Source organism: Homo sapiens, chromosome X (assembly GCF_000001405.40).
Source record: "Homo sapiens chromosome X, GRCh38.p14 Primary Assembly".
Taxonomy (NCBI): domain Eukaryota; kingdom Metazoa; phylum Chordata; class Mammalia; order Primates; family Hominidae; genus Homo; species Homo sapiens.
This window is the reverse complement of record NC_000023.11, coordinates 19,928,184-19,952,945: the sequence shown is the minus strand read 5'-3', so window position 1 is coordinate 19,952,945 and position 24,762 is coordinate 19,928,184. Positions and strand designations below refer to the sequence as shown.

Genomic DNA, 24,762 nt, shown 5'->3' with positions numbered 1-24,762 from the left:
GTATATTAACGGCAAGGGGCTTGGTGGTTGGGAGAGAAAAGGGAGTTAAAGTACATGAAGAAGGAGGATTGAAACCCAGGAATCTGAAATTAAAAAAGTCTTCAGGTGATTCTGACTATCAGCCAGGTTGGAGTGAGAATACTGACAAAAGACAAAAATATTCCCTAAGAGGGACAATCCCTAAGGATAACAGCTTTGTAAAATTGACACGCAATTACAGCATTTGATATTCATCCCCAAAATCCGCACTGTAAAGCTTATGGAAAGTATGTTAGGTACCTATTTTTTTCAAAGCAATCACGTGGAATATATTTTTAAATTGTACGTGGAATGAATGCACAGGAACGAAAAATTTCATTTGATATTGCCCTTCTGTTTACTGCAGAATGTACGAAACATTCTGTGGAATATGAACTAGCAAAATAAGGGAAATAAGGGACTAAATTTCTTTATTCATGTGTGTCGTTCCCACCCGACACCTCCCCTCCCACCCCCCATTTCTTTGCTAATTAGAAAGACTGTCTTGACTAGCCAGGAGGGAAGAAAACTGGCTCTTGTTTTAGAAGAATTATATCAAGTTCTAAAAGAACTGCTAATTTATTCATTGAGGATAAAGAGTCTTTGTAGAGGAGATATTTTAATACATTTCTGATAGAATATATAAATAATTTTTTCACTTGTGAAATGATTATAATTTTTGCTGAACTTATGGAGATAGGTTAATTTGTTGAACAAATGATATTTTCAGACAATTTCTAATCATCAAAGTCCTATACTCAACTTACAGGAAATCTGTGGTTTTTTAAAAAATCACCTATAATTTAGTCATTTAGCACAAACTATTATTTAATCGTCTTTTCTGGCAGTCTTATAGCTTGCATTTTAACGTAGTCACTATCATAGTATATGTAGTTTTGTATGCTTTTTTCTTTTCACGTGATCCATAATAACATTCCTTTTATGTAAAATCTCTGAATTCGCTATGACCTTTTATGACTGAGGCTTTTTAAGTTTTGTTTTGAGACAGAGTCCTGGTCTCACCCAGGCTGGAGTACAGTGGTGCAATTATGGCTCACTGCAGCCTCGACCTCCTGGGCTCAAGTGATCCTCCCACCTCAGCCTCCTGAGTAGCTAGGACTATAGACATGCACTACCATGCCCGGCTAATTTTTGTATTTTTTGTGGAGACAGGGTTTTTCCATGTTGCCCAGGCTGGTCTTGAACTTCTGGACTCAAGGGATCCACCCACCTCGGCCTCCCAAAGTGCTGGGATTATAGGCATGAGCCACTGCACCTGGCCCTTGTTAAGTTTTAATTAACTTTTTTGTTTGTTTCTTTTTTTTTTTTTTTGCGACAGAGTCTCACTCTGTCACCCTGGCTGGAGTGCAGTGGTGCGATCTCAGCTCACTGCAACCTCCACCTCCCAGGTTCAAGCCATTCTCCTGCCTCAGCCTCCCAAGTAGCTGGGATTACAGGCGCCCATCACCATGCCCGGCTAATTTTTGTATTTTTGGTGGAGATGGGGTTTTACTATGTTGGCCAGGCTGGTCTTGAACTCCTGTTCAAATGATCTGCCCACCTTGGCCTCCCAAAGTGCTGGTATTACAGGCATGAGCCACTGCGCCCGGCCTAATTAACTTTTTTCAATAAGCACTTTTCTATGTTGACTTCCACATAGTCTTTATTACCATAAATTAAATGATTGTACATTATTCTTTTGACTTAAGTTTACCATGATTTATTTACTCATTCTTCCCTTCCTCTTAATTTTTTTTTTTTACATTTAAGTTGCTTCTATTTTTTGTTATTTTAAATATAATGTTTTGAATCTATTTAGGTAGATAACCTTTTATTTGGGTTAGAGTCCCACAAGTGGGAATCCTGGTTCAATATTAGGAACTTTTCTGACTGTTTATTGTCAATTGTGTCTCAAAATATTTGTATTAGTTTACAATACCATTAGCAGGATGAGTACAAGGTAACTTATCTAGGACTTGTAATTAACGTTCTTGTTAGATATGGTCTTTGTGCAACTAAAAGTAATGTGAATGGTTTGTCTTCTGTCAAAATTCCTCAGACTCTGATCAAAATAATAGATCCAAATGACCTACGACATGACATTGAAAGAAGGCGAAAAGAACGGTTACAGAATGAAGATGAGCACATTTTTCACATAGCTAGTGCTGCAGAGAGGTAATCAGTAGATGACAAACATCCTGTTATCAGGGAGCTTTGGGTTTTACCATATTTTTACATTTTTTGTGTGATGATAATTTTCATTTTAATATAGGGATTTGCTCCTTCAAATCCATCTTATATGTTTAAGTGAAATCTATTAAAATGTTTCCAGGTTATTCAGTGATTCTCATATGCGGTTTGATTTAAACAACAAAAACTATGGGGTAGGTGAATATTTGAGGTCTTCGTAATTCTGATGAGGAGTGTTACCACTTTTAGAATATTAGCAGGAGGCAGGACCAGCAAGTTTACAGACTATTTAGCTTGAGCTGATTGAAACTCTGATACATTCTGCCCTTTAGATTCTGGGTTAGTCTTTGAATAGTAGAAAATTTCCTGAAGTCAGTACAGTTATCTTTTGCGACTCTTTGTGGATGTCTATACTGGATAATTGTGGATCACTGTACTGACAAAAAGTGAAAAAAATCCACATTTTTGGATGTCGTCCATGAAATTGAGGCAGGTGTAGTAGAAAATGCAGAGGAGACCTAAGTTTGAATCTCATCTCTCTCAGTTTACAAGCTGACCGATCTTGGACAAATTTGCTTAGTCTCTGGAGCCTCTTCATCTGTAAAATGATGATAAAATCAATTTATGCTATGGGGCAGTTATGAGTATTAAACGAGTTGGCACATGTGAAGTACTTATGTCATATATGGCAAATAGATCCTCAGTAGATTTTTCTTTCTTAACCTCATACTTCTGTTTAGGGGCTCTTAGTAGTCTAGATCAACCCCAGTTTATCTCTAGTTCTGAACACCATGTGGATGGAACTCACGGCAACTCTGGGGCCCCATATGATTATGAGGTATAATTGAACAGGACAACATTTCCAGTTCACTTGAGTTCTTATACTACTTGGATCTCCCAAAAAGTGAGACTGTATGAATACAAAGAGACAGTGCTAATTGTTTTTCCATAATCTTTTCTATCAAATTGCTAAGATAATGTATTTGACAAGACTTTTAAGTCAAGTCTGTAGCTAACTAGGTCAGAATATATGGACTTGATGCTGACAATAAATTCAGAACTAATTAAAACATAGTGAAACGATGTGTTGAGGTATATAAAACAATTGAAAATGAAAGAGTAAAAATGTTGTCCCTTGCTGGGTGAAAGTCTCCAGTCTCCTAATATGATATGGTTAATGCATGACATGACTGTGCTCCTTAATGACACAAGCTCTCTATCATGCTTTTCTTGACTCAACAAGTGTAAGAAACCCAGTACCAAGAAACAGGATTTTAAAAACAGATTTAAGACAATCAGCATATTTTAAAGATCATAAGATGCTTTAGGATGTATCTTTACCCCTTGACGTGATTAAGAACTTGAGCACTGGAGTTGGACCTGAGTTCAGTGGCTGGCTCTTGGATTCCTAGCTATGTGACTGACTTTGGGAAAATTATTTTGTCTCTGTTTCCTCATCTGTAAAATAGGGATAAGAGTTGTACTTACCTCACAGTGGTGGTTAAGATTAAGTAAAGTGATGAGTGTAAGGTAGAGTAGCTGGTCAGCATTAAGTATTATGAATGCTAGCTTTGAGGACAGTGTGGTAGTGTGCAAGGATGTGTTCCTACAAGCTGTCTTTTGCTGGGTCTGTTGGATTATTTTATTTGTATTGGATAGGTGGTGAGGCATAGTGGAGCCATGAGGAGTTTTTAAAAATGAGACATTACTTAACATTCATCCTGCAAAAATAAACAATTCAGTAGTTTTTAGTATATTAACAAACTTATGCAACCATCATTACTATCTAATTCCGAAACATTTCATCACCCCAGAAGTAAACCCTCTACCCATTAGCTGCCACTCCCTGCCCCATTTCTCCTTCCCCCTTAGTCCCTGGCAACTACTGTTCTATTTTCTGTATCTATGGATTTGTCTAATCCTGACATTTCATATAATCATTTTTCTTTTCTTTTTTTTTTTTTGAGACAGGATCTCTCTCTGTCACCCAGGATGGAGTACAGAGGCACAATCACAGCTCACTGCAGCCTCAACCTTCCGTGAGGCTCAGGTGATTCTCCCACCTCGGCCTCCCGAGCAGCTGGGACCACAGGCTCCTGCCACCACACCCGGCTAATTTTTCGTATTTTTTTTTTGTAGAGACGGGGTTTCACCATGTTGCCCAGGCTGGTCTCAAACTCTTGTGCTCAAGGGATCTACCCGACTCAGTCTCCCAAAGTGCTGGGAGTACAGGCATGAGCCACCACAACTGGCCTGACATTTCATATAAATTCAATAATATAATATGTGGCCTCTCGTAACTGACTTCTTTCCTATAGCATAATGCTTTTAACGCTCATCCATGTTGTAGCATGAGAATTCTTATGTATGGCTGAATAATATTCCATTGTATGGCTATATCGTATTCTCTTTATCCATTCACCAGTTGATGGACATTTGGGTTGTTTCCACTTTTTGTCTGTTTGTGAATAACTGTGCTGTGAACATTTGTGTGCAAGTTTTTGTGCAGATACCTGTTTTCGTTTCTCTTCAGTATATAGCTAGGAGTGGAATTGATGAGTTTGATGGTTACTCTATGATTAACTTTTTGAGGAACTGCCAGACTGTTTTCCAAAGCGGCTGTGCTATTTTACATTTCCACCAGCAGCATCTGAAGGGTCCAGTTGCTCCACATCGTTGCCAACTCTTCTTATTAATCTCTCACTTTATCCTAATTCAGTTTCCTTATTTAAATAAGAAAAATATATTATCCTTTTATCTTAGAAATTCAGTTTATAAAAATTGACCTCATTATATGTTTTTATATAAACTTTTAAAATCAAGTCAGGGTAGTTTCCACAGAAATACGAAAGAAATGAAACATGATGCAATCATAAGTCATAGGATGTAGTGATTTCTCACCTGTGTGGCTTTCCTTCAAAAAGTTGTATGCAGCCTTTCTGTCTGTGTTTGCTCACTGTTGTATCCCCACTGCCCTGAGCTCAGTTCATATTTGTTGAATGAATGAAGAGTTCCCAAAGGAGTAGACAAGACAGAGGATACCTAACTTGTAATACATTTAGATTTGGGTTACTATTCCCTGATGCCTTAGGATCTTTCACAAGCACACCTAACACTTGGGGGTTCTGTCTAGCCTCTAGGACCCATCTGTTCTCTACAGGTGCTCCTTAACTTATGATAGGGCAACATCCCAATAACCCATTGTAAAGTAAAAAAAAAAAACTGTAAGTTAAACCATTGTAAGTTGGGGACGGTCTGGATTTACTTCCACTTCTTACCCGTTTCTTACTCTGATGTCTCCATGTTTTCTCCTGACACACTATTTCTGCCTTTTCTAACTGGAGTTACTAAGTTTCCTACAATGTAAATGAGTTGTTTTGTTATAGAGGTATGGAGTGTGTTTGATAAAGTAGCTTAAAAATAGTATCAGTGGACTTGAAGAGGACATCAAACTGCCAAGAATTTCTTTTATTTTTTATTTTTATTTTTTAACAAGGAGTTGGAACGACAGACTGTCGTTTTAGCTGGGCAGGTTACGGGAAAACATCAGTTTTTGTTCTTGCTATTGCAGTAGTCATAATCTATACTGAAGTAGAGTGAACTTTATAAAGATATATTCATATAGTCAACAGATATTTATGTATTGATTTCTTTGTTCTAGTTACTGTTCTAAGGACTGGGGATATAGTGAAAAACTATATACAAACCTTTGTCTTCGTGTTACTTATAATTTAATAGCAGAAGAAAGAAAATAAATACATGTCAGTGGAGTGATAGGTGAAAATAAGGCAGAAGAGGAAATTTAATAGCAAAGAGTGACATGTGTGATATGGTTTTATTTAGGGTGATCATGGAGTACACTTATGACTTTTAAAAAATGTAGCTGGGTTGTGAATTAAGTGAGGGTGTTAGCCATAGGGTTATCTGAGGGGATAGTATTTCAAGAGAGGGAACAGCAAAAGCAAAGACCTTCAGCATGCCTGCTTTTGTTTAAGGAATAGAAAGGGGGACAGTGGGGTTGTGACAGGGTGGTAAAGGGAGAGAGTAGATGAGGCCAATCACGAAGGGCTTTGAAGAACTGAAGGACGTGAAGACTTTGTATTTTATTCTGGATGAAGTTAGAAAACATTTTGGGTTCTAACCAGAGAAGAGACATAATCTCACTTAAATTTTAAAAGGATCACTGTGGTTGCTGGGTGGAGAGTGGACTGTAAGAGCTAGAGAAAAAAAGTATTTCCTTCTCAAGTGAAAAAAAAAGATTAGAGGTAGGAAATCTACATGATAGGGTCAACACGGTAGAGTGGACACATCAGGGAACCAGGCTGCTTAGATCTTCTTCCTCCCATATCCTCTGTATGTAGCATCTGTCTCATGATCCAAGATGGGTATTTGTGCCCTAGCCATCATGTCCTCATACTAGCCTTTCCTTTAAAGACTTCTTGAGGAGCCAAGATGGCCGAATGGGAACAGCCCCGGTCTACAGCTCCCAGCGTGAGCGACGCAGAAGACGGGTGATTTCTGCATTTCCATCTGAGGTACCGGGTTCATCTCACTAGGGAGTGCCAGACAGTGGGCGCAGGCCAGTGGGTGCGCGCACCGGGCGCGAGCCGAAGCAGGGCGAGGCATTGCCTCACCTGGGAAGCGCAAGGGGTCAGGGAGTTCCCTTTCCGAGTCAAAGAAAGGGGTGACGGACGCACCTGGAAAATCGGGTCACTCCCACCCGAATATTGCGCTTTTCAGACCGGCTTAAAAAACGGCGCATCACGAGACTATATCCCACACCTGGCTCGGAGGGTCCTACGCCCACGGAATCTCGCTGATTGCTAGCACAGCAGTCTGAGATCAAACTGCAAGGCGGCAGCGAGGCTGGGGGAGGGGCGCCCACCATTGCCCAGGCTTGCTTAGGTAAACAAAGCAGCCAGGAAGCTCGAACTGGGTGGAGCCCACCACAGCTCAAGGAGGCCTGCCTGCCTCTGTAGGCTCCACCTCTGGGGGCAGGGCACAGACAAACAAAAAGACAGCAGTAACCTCTGCAGACTTAAATGTCCCTGTCTGACAGCTTTGAAGAGAGCAGTGGTTCTCCCAGCACGCAGCTGGAGATCTGAGAACAGGCAGACTGCCTCCTCAAGTGGGTCCCTGACCCCTGACCCCCGAGCAGCCTAACTGAGAGGCACCCCCCAGCAGGGGCACACTGACACCTCACACGGCAGGGTATTCCAACAGACCTGCAGCTGAGGGTGCTGTCTGTTAGAAGGAAAACTAACAAACAGAAAGGACATCCACACCGAAAACCCACCTGTACATCACCATCATCAAAGACCAAAAGTAGATAAAACCACAAAGATGGGGAAAAAACAGAACAGAAAAACTGGAAACTCTAAAACACAGAGCGCCTCTCCTCCTCCAAAGGAACGCAGTTCCTCACCAGCAACGGAACAAAGCTGGATGGAGAATGACTTTGACGAGCTGAGAGAAGAAGGCTTCAGACGATCAAATTACTCTGAGCTACGGGAGGACATTCAAACCAAAGGCAAAGAAATTGAAAACTTTGAAAAAAAATTAGAAGATGTATAACTAGAATAACCAATACAGAGAACTGCTTAAAGGAGCTGATGGAGCTGAAAACCAAGGCTTGAGAACTACGTGAAGAATGCAGAAGCCTCAGGAGCCGATGCGATCAACTGGAAGAAAGGGTATCAGCAATGGAAGATGAAATGAATGAAATGAAGCGTGAAGGGAAGTTTAGAGAAAAAAGAATAAAAAGAAATGAGCAAAGCCTCCAAGAAATATGGGACTATGTGAAAAGACCAAATCTACGTCTGATTGGTGTACCTGAAAGTGATGCGGAGAATGGAACCAAGTTGGAAAACACTCTGCAGGATATTATCCAGGAGAACTTCCCCAATCTAGCAAGGCAGGCCAATGTTCAGATTCAGGAAATACAGAGAACGCCACAAAGATACTCCTCGAGAAGAGCAACTCCAAGACACATAATTGTCAGATTCACCAAAGTTGAAATGAAGGAAAAAATGTTAAGGGCAGCCAGAGAGAAAGGTCGGGTTACCCACAAAGGGAAGCCCATCAGACTAACAGCGGATCTCTCAGCAGAAACCCTACAAACCAGAAGAGAGTGGGGGCCAATATTCAACATTCTTAAAGAAAAGAATTTTCCACCCAGAATTTCATATCCAGCCAAACTAAGCTTCATAAGTGAAGGAGAAATAAAATCCTTTACAGACAAGCAAATGCTGAGAGATTTTGTCACCACCAGGCCTGCCCTAAAAGAGCTCCTGAAGGAAGCGCTAAACATGGAAAGGAACAACCGGTACCAGCCGCTGCAAAATCATGCCAAAATGTAAAGACCATCGAGACTAGGAAGAAACTGCATCAACTAACGAGCAAAATCACCAGCTAACATCATAATGACAGGATCAAATTCACACATAACAATATTAACTTTAAATGTAAATGGACTAAATGCTCCAATTAAAAGACACAGACTGGCAAATTGGATAAAGAGTCAAGACCCATCAGTGTGCTGTATTCAGGAAACCCATCTCACGTGCAGAGACACACACAGGCTCAAAATAAAAGGATGGAGGAAGATCTACCAAGCAAATGGAAAACAAAAAAAGGCAGGGGTTGCAATCCTAGTCTCTGATAAAACAGACTTTAAACCAACAAAGATCAAAAGAGACAAAGAAGGCCATTACATAATGGTAAAGGGATCAATTCAACAAGAGGCGCTAACTATCCTAAATATATATGCACCCAATACAGGAGCACCCAGATTCATAAAGCAAGTCCTGAGTGACCTACAAAGAGACTTAGACTCCCACACATTAATAATGGGAGACTTTAACACCCCACTGTCAACATTAGACAGATCAACGAGACAGAAAGTCAACAAGGATACCCAGGAATTGAACTCAGCTCTGCACCAAGCAGACCTAATAGACATCTACAGAACTCTCCACCCCAAATCAACAGAATATACATTTTTTTCAGCACCACACCACACCTATTCCAAAATTGACCACATAGTTGGAAGTAAAGCTCTCCTCAGCAAATGTAAAAGAACAGAAATTATAACAAACTCTCTCTCAGACCACAGTGCAATCAAACTAGAACTCAGGATTAAGAATCTCACTCAAAGCCGCTCAACTACGTGGAAACTGAACAACCTGCTCCTGAATGACTACTGGGTACATAACGAAATGAAGGCAGAAATAAAGATGTTCTTTGAAACCAACGAGAACAAAGACACCACATACCAGAATCTCTGGGACGCATTCAAAGCAGTGTGTAGAGGGAAATTTATAGCACTAAATGCCCACAAGAGAAAGCAGGAAAGATCCAAAATTGACACCCTAACACCACAATTAAAAGAACTAGAAAAGCAAGAGCAAACACATTCAAAAGCTAGCAGAAGGCAAGAAATAACTAAAATCAGAGCAGAACTGAAGGAAATAGAGACACAAAAAACCCTTCAAAAAATCAATGAATCCAGGAGCTGGTTTTTTGAAAGGATCAACAAAATTGATAGACCGCTAGCAAGACTAATAAAGAAAAAAAGAGAGAAGAATCAAATAGACACAATAAAAAATGATAAAGGGGATATCACCACCGATCCCACAGAAATACAAACTACCATCAGAGAATACTACAAACACCTCTACACAAATAAACTAGAAAATCTAGAAGAAATGGATACATTCCTCGACACATACACTCTCCCAAGACTAAACCAGGAAGAAGTTGAATCTCTGAATAGACCAATAACAGGAGCTGAAATTGTGGCAATAATCAATAGTTTACCAACCAAAAAGAGTCCAGGACCAGATGGATTCACAGCCGAATTCTACCAGAGGTACAAGGAGGAACTGGTACCATTCCTTCTGAAACTATTCCAATCAATAGAAAAAGAGGGAATCCTCCCTAACTCATTTTATGAGGCCAGCATCATTCTGATACCAAAGCCGGGCAGAGACACAACCAAAAAAGAGAATTTTAGACCAATATCCTTGATGAACATTGATGCAAAAATCCTCAATAAAATACTGGCAAACCGAATCCAGCAGCACATCAAAAAGCTTATCCACCATGATCAAGTGGGCTTCATCCCTGGGATGCAAGGCTGGTTCAATATACGCAAATCAATAAATGTAATCCAGCATATAAACAGAGCCAAAGACAAAAACCACATGATTATCTCAATAGATGCAGAAAAAGCCTTTGACAAAATTCAACAACCCTTCATGCTAAAAACTCTCAATAAATTGGGTATTGATGGGACGTATTTCAAAATAATAAGAGCTATCTATGACAAACCCACAGCCAATATCATACTGAATGGGCAAAAACTGGAAGCATTCCCTTTGAAAACTGGCACAAGACAGGGATGCCCTCTCTCACCACTCCTATTCAACATAGTGTTGGAAGTTCTGGCCAGGGCAATCAGGCAGGAGAAGGAAATAAAGGGTATTCAATTAGGAAAAGAGGAAGTCAAATTGTCCCTGTTTGCAGACGACATGATTGTATATCTAGAAAACCCCATTGTCTCAGCCCAAAATCTCCTTAAGCTGATAAGCAACTTCAGCAAAGTCTCAGGATACAAAATCAATGTACAAAAATCACAAGCATTCTTATACACCAGCAACATACAAACAGAGAGCCAAATCATGAGTGAACTCCCATTCACAATTGCTTCAAAGAGAATAAAATACCTAGGAATCCAACTTACAAGGGATGTGAAGGACCTCTTCAAGGAGAACTACAAACCACTGCTCAAGGAAATAAAAGAGGATACAAACAAATGGAAGAACATTCCATGCTCATGGGTAGGAAGAATCAATATCGTGAAAATGGCCATACTGCCCAAGGTAATTTACAGATTCAATGCCATCCCCATCAAGCTACCAATGACTTTCTTCACAGAATTGGAAAAAACTACTTTAAAGTTCATATGGAACCAAAAAAGAGCCCGCATGGCCAAGTCAATCCTAAGCTAAAAGAACAAAGCTGGAGGCATCACACTACCTGACTTCAAACTATACTACAAGGCTACAGTAACCAAAACAGCATGGTACTGGTACCAAAACAGAGATACAGATCAATGGAACAGAACAGAGCCCTCAGAAATAACGCCACATATCTACAACTATCTGATCTTTGACAAACCCGAGAAAAACAAGCAATGGGGAAAGGATTCCCTATTTAATAAATGGTGCTGGGAAAACTGGCTAGCCATATGGAGAAAGCTGAAACTGGATCCCTTCCTTATACCTTATACAAAAATCAATTCAAGATGGATTAAAGATTTAAACGTTAGACCTAAAACCATAAAAACCCTAGAAGATAACCTAGGCATTACCATTCAGGACATAGGCATGGGCAAGGACTTTATGTCCAAAACACCAAAAGCAATGGCAACAAAAGCCAAAATTGACAAATGGGATCTAATTAAACTAAAGAGCTTCTGCACAGCAAAAGAAACTACCATCAGAGTGAACAGGCAACCTACAACATGGGAGAAAGTTTTCGCAACCTACTCATCTGACAAAGGGCTAATATCCAGAATCTACAATGAACTCAAACAAATTTACAAGAAAAAAACAAACAACCCCATCAAAAAGTGGGCAAAGGACATGAATAGACACTTCTCAAAAGAAGACATTTATGCAGCCAAAAAACACATGAAAAAATGCTCATCATCACTGGCCATCAGAGAAATGCAAATCAAAACCACTATGAGATATCATATCACACCAGTTAGAATGGCAATCATTAAAAAGTCAGGAAACAACAGGTGCTGGAGAGGATGTGGAGAAATAGGAACACTTTTACACTGTTGGTGGGACTGTAAACTAGTTCAACCATAGTGGAAGTCAGTGTGGCAATTCCTCAGGGATCTAGAACTAGAAATACCATTTGACCCAGCCAACCCATTACTGGGTATATACCCAAAGGACTATAAATCATGCTGCTATAAAGACACATGCACACGTATGTTTATTGCGGCATTATTCACAATAGCAAAGACTTGGAACCAACCCAAATGTCCAACAATGATAGACTGGATTAAGAAAATGTGGCACATATACACCATGGAATACTATGCAGCCATAAAAAATGATGAGTTCATGTTCTTTGTAGGGACATGGATGAAATTGGAAATCATCATTCTCAGTAAATTATCGCAAGAACAAAAAACCAAACACCGCATATTCTCACTCATAGGTGGGAATTGAACAATGAGATCACATGGACACATGAAGGGGAATATCACACTCTGGGGTCTGTGGTGGGGTTAGGGGAGGGATAGCATTGGGAGATATACCTAATGCTAGATGATGAGTTAGTGGGTGCAGCGCACCAGCATGGCACATGTATACATATGTAACTAACCTGCACAATGTGCACATGTACCCTAAAACTTAAAGTATAATAAAAAAAAAAAAATAAATAAATAAATAAAAAATAAAGACTTCTTGAAATTTACACATGATAACTTGGCCAAAATTTAGTCCCATGGCCATGCCTAGCTGCAGGGCAGCTGGGAAATAGATTCTTTAATCTGAGCATTCATTTGCCTGGTCAAAAATCAAATATCAAAGGATTTAATTTTTGTATTGTGGCAAAATATACATATCCTAAATTTACCATTTTAACCATTTTTAAGTGTAAAATTCATTGACATTGAGTATATTCACAGTGTTGTACAATCACCACCACTATCTACTTCCAGAACTTTTTCATCTTCACAAACAGAAAGTCTGTTTCCATTGAACAGTAACTCCTCATGCTCTCCTCTCTGCAGCCCCTGGTAACCTCTATTCTTTCTGTCTATATGAATTTGCCTATTGTGGGTATCTGATATAAGTAGAATCAGACAATATTTGTCGTTTTGTCTCTGGCTTATTTCACTTAGCATAGTGTTTTCAGGGTCAATTCATGTTGTATCATGTGTCAGAATTTCATTCCTTTTTTAAAAAATTCATTCTCTTTTAAGGCTGAATAATATTCCATTGTATGGCTGTACTACATTTTGTTTATCTGTTTTTCTGTGGACATTTGTATTGCTTTCACCCTTTGGCTATTGTAAATAGTGATGTTATGCATATTGGTATTGTCATCTTTTTGGTTATAGCCATCCTAGTTAGTGTAAAGTGGTGTCTCATTGTGGTTTTGATTTGCATTTCTCTAATGACTAATGATGTTGAGCATCTTTCTATGTGCTTATTGGCCATTGGTATGTCTTTGGAGAAATTTCTATTCAAATCCTTTGCCCATTTTAAAATCAAAGTATTTTTGTTGTTGAGGTGTAGGAGTTCTTTATATATTCTGGATACAGCTCCCTCATCAGATATATGCTTTGCAAAGAGAATTTTAAAAAATCCATTGCTTTGTTTGTAGAAGTAGTCATACACACTAATGGTAATCATTTGGAAAAATATAATAAAGTATAAAATCAAAAATATAAGGCATTCCTAATTTTACCAGTCAGAGATGACCACTGTTAATATTTAGTACATTTCTTGTCATTTATTTTTTCTGGGCACATATGTGTATATTTTAAATAATTGAAATTATCCTCAATATACAACTTTGCACTTTACTCTTTTGATCTACTGTCGTGAGCATTTTGACAAAGCATAGGCCTTTTTAACATTTAAAAAACCCCGAGTGTCTATTTCATGTCAGATTCTGGGATCAGAGCTGGGGCCACAAAACGAATCATCCACATTGCTTCCTCTGAAGGAATAGCAACTTGTTCCGTTAAACAGACAGGTACACCAGTAGTTACAAATACGGAATGATAGGTGTTAAGACCTAAAAATGCTACATGGGCACATAGCAGGGAGTACCTAGTTCACCTCAGAAGGGTTTAGGAAACTCTTCCTTGAAGAGGTACAAATGGATCTAAATCTTTAAGTTAATCTAAGTAGAAGGAAATGGTCACAGAAGGAACTGCACATGCAAAGGTGTAGAAGCAGGAGAGATTGCTTTGTGCCAGGAACCACATGTACTTCAATATTCCTGGCTGGGCACGGTGGCTCACGCCTATAATCCCAGCACTTTGGGAGGCCAAGGTGGATGGATTACTTGAGGTCAGGAGTTCAAGACCAGGCTGGCCAACATGGTGAAACCCCGTGTCTACTAAAAATAGAAAAAATTAGCGGGGTGTGATGGCGTGCACCTGTAATCCCAGCTACTCGGAAGGCTGAGGCAGGAGAATCAGTTGAACTCAGGAGGTGCAGGTTGCAATGAGCCGAGATTGTGCCACTGCACTCCAGCCTGGGCAACACAGCAAGACTCTGTCTCAAAAACAAGCAAACAAAAAATCCTGAAGCTCAGTGTGCCTGTTGGGGAGATTGGAGCGAGGTAGCAAGGGCCAGAGCAGAAAGGGCTTTGGGGGGTCACGATGAGGAGTGTGGAAGTTATCTTGTTGCCAGTGGGGAATCCATGGGAAAGAGTGAAGGTGGGCCTGCAGAAGACACAGGAAGGGGCTGAGAAGCATTGTAGAGAGATGCAGGATGTGACACGGAGAGGAATCCCCAAGGGCTGTGGAAATGAGGCTTTGGAGATCAGAGGAAGATCCCAGGGAAGGACCTCCCTCCCAGATAGGGCTGCCTGAGAAGAGCCCTTTGTGGCCTCAGTACCTCATGATGACGGGAGAGAGGAGGCTGTCCTTCGCTGCTGTGGTCCTACAGTATCAGAGGCCTCAGCTCTGCCAGTGAGGGGACCCTGAGCCAGTCATACACCTTGCCTCTGTTGAATGGGCTGGGTCATGAGCCATTGGTGCTTCCACCAGTAAGAGCTGTCAGCAAGAAGGGGAGGGGGGCAGTGCTGCCAAAGGTTCTAGAGCAGTAATTATCTTTCCTCAAAACACACATTTCACATATGGTTTCAGGGGGTTACAGCCCCCAGAAAGCCTGTCCTTAGACCCCAGATTGAGAACCTGGTTCAAGGAGTGTTTTTCCGCATTGCTAACCTCCAACTTAGATAAATAACATTTGTTGGAAAATGAGGGGTTTAGCCCTAATGACTATCATTTGTAATTTTAGTAGTGATAGATCATTGAGATTTCACTTGTGTGCTACTTTAATTGTTTCTGAAGGGGCTTTTTAAAATTATTCTTGTTTATTTCTTGGAAAAAAAGGTATACTAATAAAATATTCTTATTTTCTCTGTTTCCTTATTAGGGATGATCAGAATTCCAGTTTTTCAAAGGTAAAGAATGTTCATACTGATGGATTCCAAAAACCCACACATTTTATAAAATCAAATTTTAGAAAATGTATTGAAAAACCTTACATGGTAAGATTGCAGTTCCAAAATTTGCATTTTTATAATTTCTTCTTCTCCAATACATCAAAATGTGCAGGGATCACCAATATTTTTCACGTTTGTAATTGTTCATTAAGTATATGTTATAAGATTCCGTTGATGCTTAAAGTTATTATGACAGAAGAAATGGTCATTTCTTACTTGATTTAGTAGGATTTTATTGGATTCATTAAATAAAGCTAATAAATCTAGCTTTCTTAAGATTTTTTGGGGGGCCAGGTGCAGTGGCTCATGCTTGTAATCCTAGCACTTTGGGAGGCCAAGGCAGGAGGATTGCTTGAGCCCAGGAGTTCAAGACCTGCCTGGGCAACGTGGCTAGACCTCATCTCTACAAAAAAATATAATAATAATAAAAGAAAAAAATTCAAAAAAGATTTTTTGGGAACAACACTTAAGATCTCTTGGAACATATTTATTAAGGCATAATTCACATACCATAAAATTCACCCATTTTAGGTGTACAATTTAATGATTTTTAGTAAATTAACCAAAGTGTGCAACCATCACCACAGTCCAGTTTTAGAATATTTTCATTACCCAATATGAACCCTCATGCCTGTTTCGTTACTCCCCTTTGCCACCCCCAACCAACACTAATCTACTTTCTGTCTTAAAGATTTGCCTTTTTATAGGGCAGCTCACAAAATGGCAGCTAGTTCCATAAGAACAGGCAAGTAATGGCGAGAAAGATGGAAGCCAGAGTCGGTAACCTAATTTCACAAGTAAAATCTCATCCTTTACCATATTCTTTTTGCAAGAAGCAAGTTCCTAGGCCCTGCCGACACTCGAAGGGAGGAATAATTGGTCGGATCACTGGGAGCCATGTCAGCAGTTGCCTAGTACAGTCCTCCCTCTGGCCAGACTCTGCAGAAAGTGGAAATAATAGAAGGTGATAAGACTGTTGATTTTAGAAAAAGGAAACCATCTTGAGAATGGGCCCCATCTTTTCTGTCTCCACCAGAGGATTTAGGTTCTTCATAGTTACAGACTTACTAATGTAGTTCTTTCTTTTATTTCTGGTACTTTTCTAGCCATGGCAAGAGCATCACCTCAGATCAGTTACCTGAGTCAGGAAAACCTGCCTCCTGCAATGTTGAGGATTTGTATTCTTCTTAGGCAGTAGGAACCCTTCAGCAACTCCTGATAGTAATGGGTTTATTTCTCTCCTAGCTGCCTGAATAAATGCTAGATGTATCATCCATTTTCTCAGATTCACCCATTATGTTATACACGAGTATGTTTTATACTTGTTACAGGCGTAAATGATCCTGGCTCCTCACAAACTAGCATGGATCATGTTAGTCAAAGTCGAGGGTCAAGTTAGCATGGGTCAAGGAGGAGATGTGTATGTGCTCTACAGCTAAGCTCCCTGCTCCCTGCTTTGTGTTCTTAATCCTGTACATTTAAAATGTGTTTTCTAATGGTAAAACAAGCTTTTAAAGTAAACTTTAAAGTCTGTTAACCCACACTACTACTTTTTTTCGTGCAGAATTATACTACGCAGAGAAAAGACATAATTACTCACAAACCATTTGAGGTTGAGGGAAACCACCGAAACACAAGAGTAAGACCTTTTAAGGTATTGAGTGTTGTTTTCCATTTAATTCCAGCTTTGGTTTTATGCTTTGGACACAATGTTTTAAGTGTTAGTAAATCAAGAGCTGTTTTGTAATATGCTTTCAAATGGTAGCTATAAACTAGTATTTCTGGACATTTATAGTTAACTGTAACCAATTTGTTGATGACCCCTTTCCTTAGGACTTGATTTTCAATTTTTTTTTTTTTACCAGTAGATTCCTTTTCCAAATATTACATGGAAACACAAATACATAAAACAGATGCAGGTGGAGTGACTCTAGGTGGGGAGACAGGCAAGGCTGCAGACCCTCCCTTTAAGCCAGCACCTTTACCTCTAAGATACACGTGCAGAGCTGTAGAGCTTTCTCCAAGATTCACAGATTGAAAAACCCTGCCATGGACACACAACCCTTAGAGGCGTTCTGGATCATCACAGGAAGATTCTGGTCCAGGTAGCTTTGTTAAAGCATATTTTATCACACTCTAATTATTGGTACATCTATATCTGATATGAATGATAATTTTTAATCAACCAATATGTTTGATTATCCAGAACACCTCATCCCCCAAATATATGGAGTAAGAATTATAGTACAAGGTATTATATTTCATTTTTTTTTTTTTTTGAGATGGAGTCTCCCTCTGTCGCCCAGGCTGGAGTGCAGTGGTGCCATCCTGGCTCACTGTAACCTCCGCCTCCCAGGTTCAAGCTATTCTCCTGCCTCAGCCTCCCAAGTAGCTGGGATTACAGGCGTGTGCCACCATGCCCAGCTAATTTTTGTATTTTTAGTAGAGACAGGGTTTCATCATGTTGGCCAGGCTGGTCTCAAATGCCTGACCTCAAGGATCACCCACGTTGGCCTTCCAAAGTGCTGGGATTACAGGCTTGAGCCACTGCACCTGGCCCAAGGTATTATATTTCTGTCTCCTTGCTCACAAAAGTTGAGGTGTTTTTAAAATCAATTTTGACAGTTTCTTGCCTGTAATAGATACTTTATTAATATTTTTCACTCATATTGTCTCCCTCCCCTAAATAAAGGAAAGAATGTGAGCTTTTTGTGTAAAAGTGGCAGGCAGGCTTGTTAGAGTAGTTAGCTCATTAGGAGGAAGTTAGTATGAACAGAAAAGTAGTAGAAACTATCTAAAATTATGGACTAGAAGGTTAATTGAGTGATCTATTAATATTGGCTTCTTGAGAGTCAGAATTTATAGATGTCGAAAGATTTTATTCAATGAGAGTAACATAATTTGTAGGCATTGAATAGATTACATTTTTAGCCAATGGTTTATGTACCTAAAATTACATGTGTGACACGAAGTTTTTAAAAATAATTACGGCCGTAGAATATATACATGTTTTATACCATCTTTTGATCTCTTGAGTAATGGGGCATCACATCAACTGAAAATGTGATGTCTGCATAACTTACAGACAACATAGATGGGCTTTCAGATTTAAGTGCTTCCTACATGTTGTTCTCATTGGTCAGATATAGTTGATTATAGTATTTTTCTAACAGCATCATAAGATTTATTTTCTGTTACCTTTTTTCCTTAAGGGAAGATACTTTAACATAAATTCATAGAAAAATGTTTTCAAGATATATGTAATAACTTTACCTCTTGACCAATCATTTAAAGTTATATAATATTACATGAATGCTTAGAAGTGTACAATTCTTTGTAGTAAAATAGTGGGCAGAAATAATCCTTCCTAAGAAAAGGAAATCTTTTGGCTGGGTACTGTAGCTCACGCCTGTAATCCTAACACTTTGGGTTGCTGAGACGGGTGGATCACTTGAGGTCAGGAGTTCGAGAAGAGCCTGGGCAACATGGCAAAACCCCGTCTCTACAAAAAATACAAAAATTAGCTGGGCATGGTGGCGTGCACCTGTACTGTAGTCCCAGCTACTCAGGAGGCTGAGGTGGGAAGATCGCTTCAGCCTGGGAGGCAGAGGTTGCAGTGAGCCAAGATTGTGCCACGGCCCTCAAGCCTGGGCGACACAGTGAAGAGACCCTGTCCCAAAAGAAGAAAAAAAAAGGAAATATTTTGCTAAAATTTACTTTTTACATGAATTGGACTAGTTCAAAGCGACATAGTAATAACCTTAGAGGACATGTAGAAATGGAACACATCAGTCTCAAGATTAGCTCTGATGTATCAAGTTTGTGCAGATAGTCTTAACATTAGTGTCTCATTATAATTCTGTTTTACCTGAAATTTTCTGTAGCCTTAAGAAAATAATTGAAAAATAGGCCTGGCATAAATTTTTTTTGTAAAATTATGTGCTTCATTATGTCTGACATATCCACTTCTGAAATAATTGTGAAAAGAAGAATCTGCTTAGTTTTGTTAACTATTCCGTTGTAATACATCATTTGCGCATTTGTTTTCCCAATATGGCTCATGATCTGTTTCCTGTTATTAAGTACTCTGAGGATGGAACTTAAGTCAACCAAACACTAAATTTCAAAAAGAATAAAATCTATTTCTGTGGGCAAGTCTTTGACAATTATTACAGAACCTAAACATTGTACTTGTTCTATTTAGATGTCTATATATTAGGACATACTTTTAAAGCCATAGTTCTGTCTAGCATACATTTCGGCTTTCACTAAATTAGTAGCTTAATATTTTTGATGTTATGGGTCTTGCTACAGCCAGTTCTTCCCTTTCACAACTTCATAACTGTCTTCTTGTTAAAAAGCAACAGCAGCTCCAGCAACACCCTACCTGTCTAAGACTCAATCTCTTTTCCTCCTGGCATTGCTTTAGTTGCTGGTTAATCTGAACTTTATTATCAAAGAGGAAACAAATAGTGTTTAAAGAGGGTTGTTATTTAATGCAGCCATTGTAGTGTTTGTAAACAATTTTATTGACTTCTTTAGAGGTTAATAGTGTATTCAACCTTATAATAGTTTATTTAGGAGTTATTATTGTTTAGCTCTTCATGTTGAGAAAATCTTGACTCATATCCGGCCAGGCATGGTGGCTCACGCCTGTAATCCCAACACTTTGGGAGGCTGAGGCGGGCAGATCACTTGAGGTCAGGAGTTCGAGACCAGCCTGGCCAACATAGTGAAACCCTGTCTCTACTAAAAATACAAAAATTAGCTGGGCGTGATGGCATGTACCTGTAGTCCCAGCTACTCTGGAGGCTGAGGCAGGAGAATCGCTTGAACTCAGGAGGCGGAGATTGCAGTGAGCCCAGATTGCACTACTGTACTTCAGCCTGGGTGACAGAGTGGAACTCTATCTCAAAAAAAAAAAAAAAAAAAAAAAATCTTGACTTGTATCTGTAAAGATGTATAAATATTTATTCAGATCCTAACTTTCTATAAACGAAATGTGCTTTTGTTTGCTTTTGTAATTTTAGCTTCTGTTTTCAGCCTTAATCATTTACAAATAGTAAACTCTTTCCCTGAAACATTCTAAAAGGGGCCACTATTAGTTTCATCCCATTTGATTGGACCCCGGTCATGTAGTAGTTGGAATGTGACTCAGGGATGTTTTTTATGAAAAGCAAAGAAAGAATTTGATTTAAAGACAAAACTCTTCCCATGTAACTTTGTGATGAAACATTTACATGTAACTAGGTTGTCTTTTCCTTTTTACTTGAGAAAATTGAGAAGATGAGAACAAATTTGCAGATAATAAAGTTTATATATCAATCTTCTGAGTAAAATTCTCATTTTATTAAAAAAAAGAACACACATTTGGGAATAAATTTAGTATGCACTGGCTGCTATTTTAAAGGTATAGAATTCATAGCTTTCATTCTGACCCTTGTACCTGCCTGATAAATGAACACTGGTTGAGTTCTTAGCTCTTGAGTGGTAAGGCAAATGGAAGAATAAGACTTCCTGCTTGTGCCATTCAAACTAAATGCTCTTTTGTGCTTTTCAAGCGTGGAGAGCCTTTTTCCTGGATCTTGGTAGACTCCTATTGGCAAAATCAGGAGTAGCTATGTCTCCAGTGCTCAGACGCAGCATCTCTACTAATTGTCAGCCCCTAAAGGAAAAGAGGTGGATCTGTTTAGTCTTTGTACCTTGCATATAATGTTAGGTATGAATTTTGTTAAATAAGTTCAGAACAGTTTTATAGTTTACTATGCCTGAGAGAGGACGCTGGGTCACCAAAGTCTTTCCTTCTCTACCATATCTCTCTCTACTTCTTGGAATTAGATCTTCCAATATTCAAGTTATGCTGAACTGGTCTTGTTAAAAGTTTCGTTCAGCCCAGGGTTTTTCTTCATATGGCTTCATGTTTATTTTCTATAGGAGAATTTAATTGAATGATTTTGGGGGAGAAATCCTTTTCATAGTCAAGAGCTTAATGCAGCTTCTTCCAGTAAGTTGGCAAGTAGCTAAGTTTTTAAGATTTATCAGGGCAGAGATAGACTCCATCTATGAACCTTTGCACCACTGCTCCCATCTGTTTTAGATTATTCTAGGAGGATGCTTGGAAATGCAGGCAGACACAAGCAGTGTGTGATATGGGGGAGTGAGGGAGGGAGACTTGGAGAATTGTTTGGGAAGATTTGGAGAGGATTGGTTCACGACTGACAAAACTGAGGACTGTTTTCCTCTTCCACCTCCAGCAGTAGATTAACAAGGGACCATTTCTCTTATCAACCACATGGGAAACACACAAATATTCGTTGTCCTCTTATGTCTAATGTAATGCTGGACAGTATATGCAGCCTAGGAAGTGTTCTTTTTAAGTAATGGATCTTTTGTGGTAAAGAAAGATTTGTTTGAAGGTATTAACAGGAATAAAGTTAAAAGAGTTTTTGATTCTTAAATAGATATTGATACTTAATATCTTTCCCCCTCATTGGGGTTTGATACATTTCACTATGAATCAGAAGAATAATTTTAGTTCATTAGAGGTTCTGAACATTTTATTTTGTTAGCATGATGAATTTCAATAATTAATTTCAAATTCTTTTCTTTTTTTATTTTTTGTAGAGACAGGGTCTCACTCTGTTGCCCAGGCTGGTCTTGAACTCCTGGCCTCAAGCAGTCCTCCCACCTCAGTCTCCCAAAGTGCTGGGATTTAGGTGTGAGCCACTGTGCCCGCCCTCAAATTCTTTTAACTTAACAGTTTTAAAAATTTGGTTTGATGTAGTTTTGTTTTGTTTTTTTGAGACAGGGTCTCGCTCTGTCACCCAGACTGGAGTGTGGTGTCACAATCACAGCTTACTGCAGCCTCTACCTCCAAGACTCAAGCTATCTCCCACCTCAGCCTCCTGAGTAGCTGGGACTACAGGCATGAGCCACCATGCCCAGCTAAGAATAAAAATTAAAAATATATATATTGATATATAAAATGAGCTAGGAAGCCAGCTTGAGAGAAACCTACTTTCTCACCATCATTGACTCTTTCTGTTTTAACATCTATAAGGCCTAGAATCCAGGACAGCTCCAAGTACCAGACAGTTTTTCATCTGTTTTTTTGTTTTGTTTTGTTTGAGACAGGGTCTCACTCTGTCACCCAGGCTGGAGCGCAGTGGCACTCTTTTGTACTTTTCAAGCATAGAGAACAGTGACTCGCTGCAACGTCCGCCTCCCAGGTTCAAGCAATTCTCCTGCCTTAGCCTCCTGAGTAGCTGGGATTACAGGCGCCTGCCACCACGCCTGGCTAATTTTTGTATTTTTAGTAGAGACGGGGTTTCACCATGTTGGCCAGGCTGGTCTCGAACTCCTGACCTCAAGCGATCAGCTTGAGGAGTTCTGCCTCAGTCTCCCAAAGTGCTGGGATTACAGGCGTGAGCTACTGCACCCAACCACCCACTCATCTGTTTACTAATAAAGTAGACTTGGAAGGTGTAGTTTTAGCATTTAATTCCTTTTTTTTCCTTCACAGAGCAACTTTAGAGGTGGCAGATGCCAGCCCAATTATAAATCAGGCCTGGTACAGAAGAGCTTGTACATTCAGGCTAAGTATCAGCGTTTACGGTTCACTGGCCCAAGGGGATTTATCACTCATAAGTTCAGAGAAAGATTAATGAGAAAAAAGAAGGTTAGTTGAATTAAAATGATTTAAAAATGTTTAGTGACTTTTAAACTCCTAGATTATCTATGTTCATTAGATAAATTGGTTTCTCATTTAATTTTAAGAAACAACCTGGGTTTTTAAATGTTCTTGTTGCATGATAGTTGAATAAGATCTTCAGGGAGTAATGGTAATACAGTTGTGAGGCTGTGTAACCTTAAAATGCTTTTAGGCATTATGCCTTGAATACTTTGCATATGTTAGCTGTTTGAACTTTTGACTTTAGAATTTCTGTTGTATGGTTAATCTTTGAAATGGAAACTCAGGTAAAGGCTTTTAATTGATGTATTTTAATCTTATACAAAGTGAATTATCTGAATGCCAAAAATATATTGAATATATACAAAGGGTGCATAATTGCAAAATACACTAACTCTTTTCCCCATTCATATATTTTTTTGTTGTGGTAAAATATGTATAATATAAAATTTGCCATTTTAACCATTTTTAAGTAGCATCAAGTACATACAGTTCAGCGACACTAATTTCATTCACAGTGCTATGCAATCATCACCATTATATGTTCTTTTGCAATTTATGTTTTTAATTGACAAGTAAAAATTATATATATTTATGGTGTTCAACATGATGTTTTGATGTATGTATACATTGTGGAATGGCTAAATCAAGCTATTTAAAATACCCATTACCTCACATACTTATTTTTTTGTATTGAGAACACTTAAAATCTACTCTGTTAGCAATTTTCAGGTGTACAATATATTGTAATTAACTGTAGTCACCATGATGTATAATACATCTTTTGAACGTATTCCTCCTGTGTGACTGAAATTTTGTGTTGATGCTTTGACCAACTTCTTCTCAATCCCTCCAGCCTCTGGTAACCACCATTTTACTCTGTTTCTGTAAGTTTGACTTTTTTTTTAGATGCCACGTGTAGGTGAGATTATGTGGTATTTGTCTTTGTGTACCTGGCTTATTTCACTTAACATAATATCCTTCAGATTAATCCATGTTGTCATAAATGACAGGATTTCCTTCTTTTTAAGGCTGAATGGTATTCCATTGTATATATATGCATTTTCTTTATCCATTCAGCCGTTGATACTGAGGTTGATTCCATTATGCTAATGCTTAATGTTTTTATTCCTAACTCCCCAAACTTGTTAATAACTCTTTTTTAAATTTTTTAAGTTTTTAATTTTTTGAGACAGAGTTTTGCTCTTATTCCCCAGGCTGGAGTACAATGGCACGATCTCAGCTCAGTGCAACCTCCGCCTCCTGGGTTCAAGTGATTCTCCTGCCTCAGCCTGCCAAGTAGCTGGTATTACAGGCGCCTGCCACTACGCCTGGCTAATTTTTGTATTTTTAGTAGAGACGGGGTTTGTCCATGTAGGCCAGGCTGGTCTCGAGCTCCTGACCTCAGATGATCCACCCTCCTCGGCCTCCCAAAGTGCTGGGAATACAGGCGTGAGCTACCACGCCTGGCCGATAACTCTTAATGTTAATAAAAAGTTTCTTTACTTGGTAATTGGAATTGCATACTCTTTTAGTTGTAGATTGATTTTGTTTGAATTAACCATGTTAGTATTTGAAAATTCAGCATA

At 39.1% G+C, this 24,762-nt stretch overlaps 1 protein-coding gene across 30 annotated transcripts in view; it reads left to right on the top strand.

The window, feature by feature from the left end:
• The window catches only part of BCLAF3 (BCLAF1 and THRAP3 family member 3), a 78,202-nt gene that overhangs the window by 38,116 nt on the left and 15,324 nt on the right, over positions 1–24,762 (top strand). For 10 of the 30 annotated variants that reach the window (NM_198279.4, XM_047441972.1, XM_047441967.1 and 7 more), the window contains 4 exons: positions 2,078–2,193; positions 15,414–15,441; positions 17,048–17,137; positions 23,006–23,161. In NM_198279.4, coding sequence (NP_938020.2) covers positions 2,078–2,193; positions 15,414–15,441; positions 17,048–17,137; positions 23,006–23,161 — 390 coding nt within the window. Of the gene's footprint in view, positions 1–2,077; positions 2,194–15,413; positions 15,529–17,047; positions 17,138–23,005; positions 23,162–24,762 lie in introns of all 30 variants that reach the window. The other 20 variants (XM_047441965.1, NM_001367774.2, XM_011545476.3 and 17 more) reach the window with 9 other exon arrangements.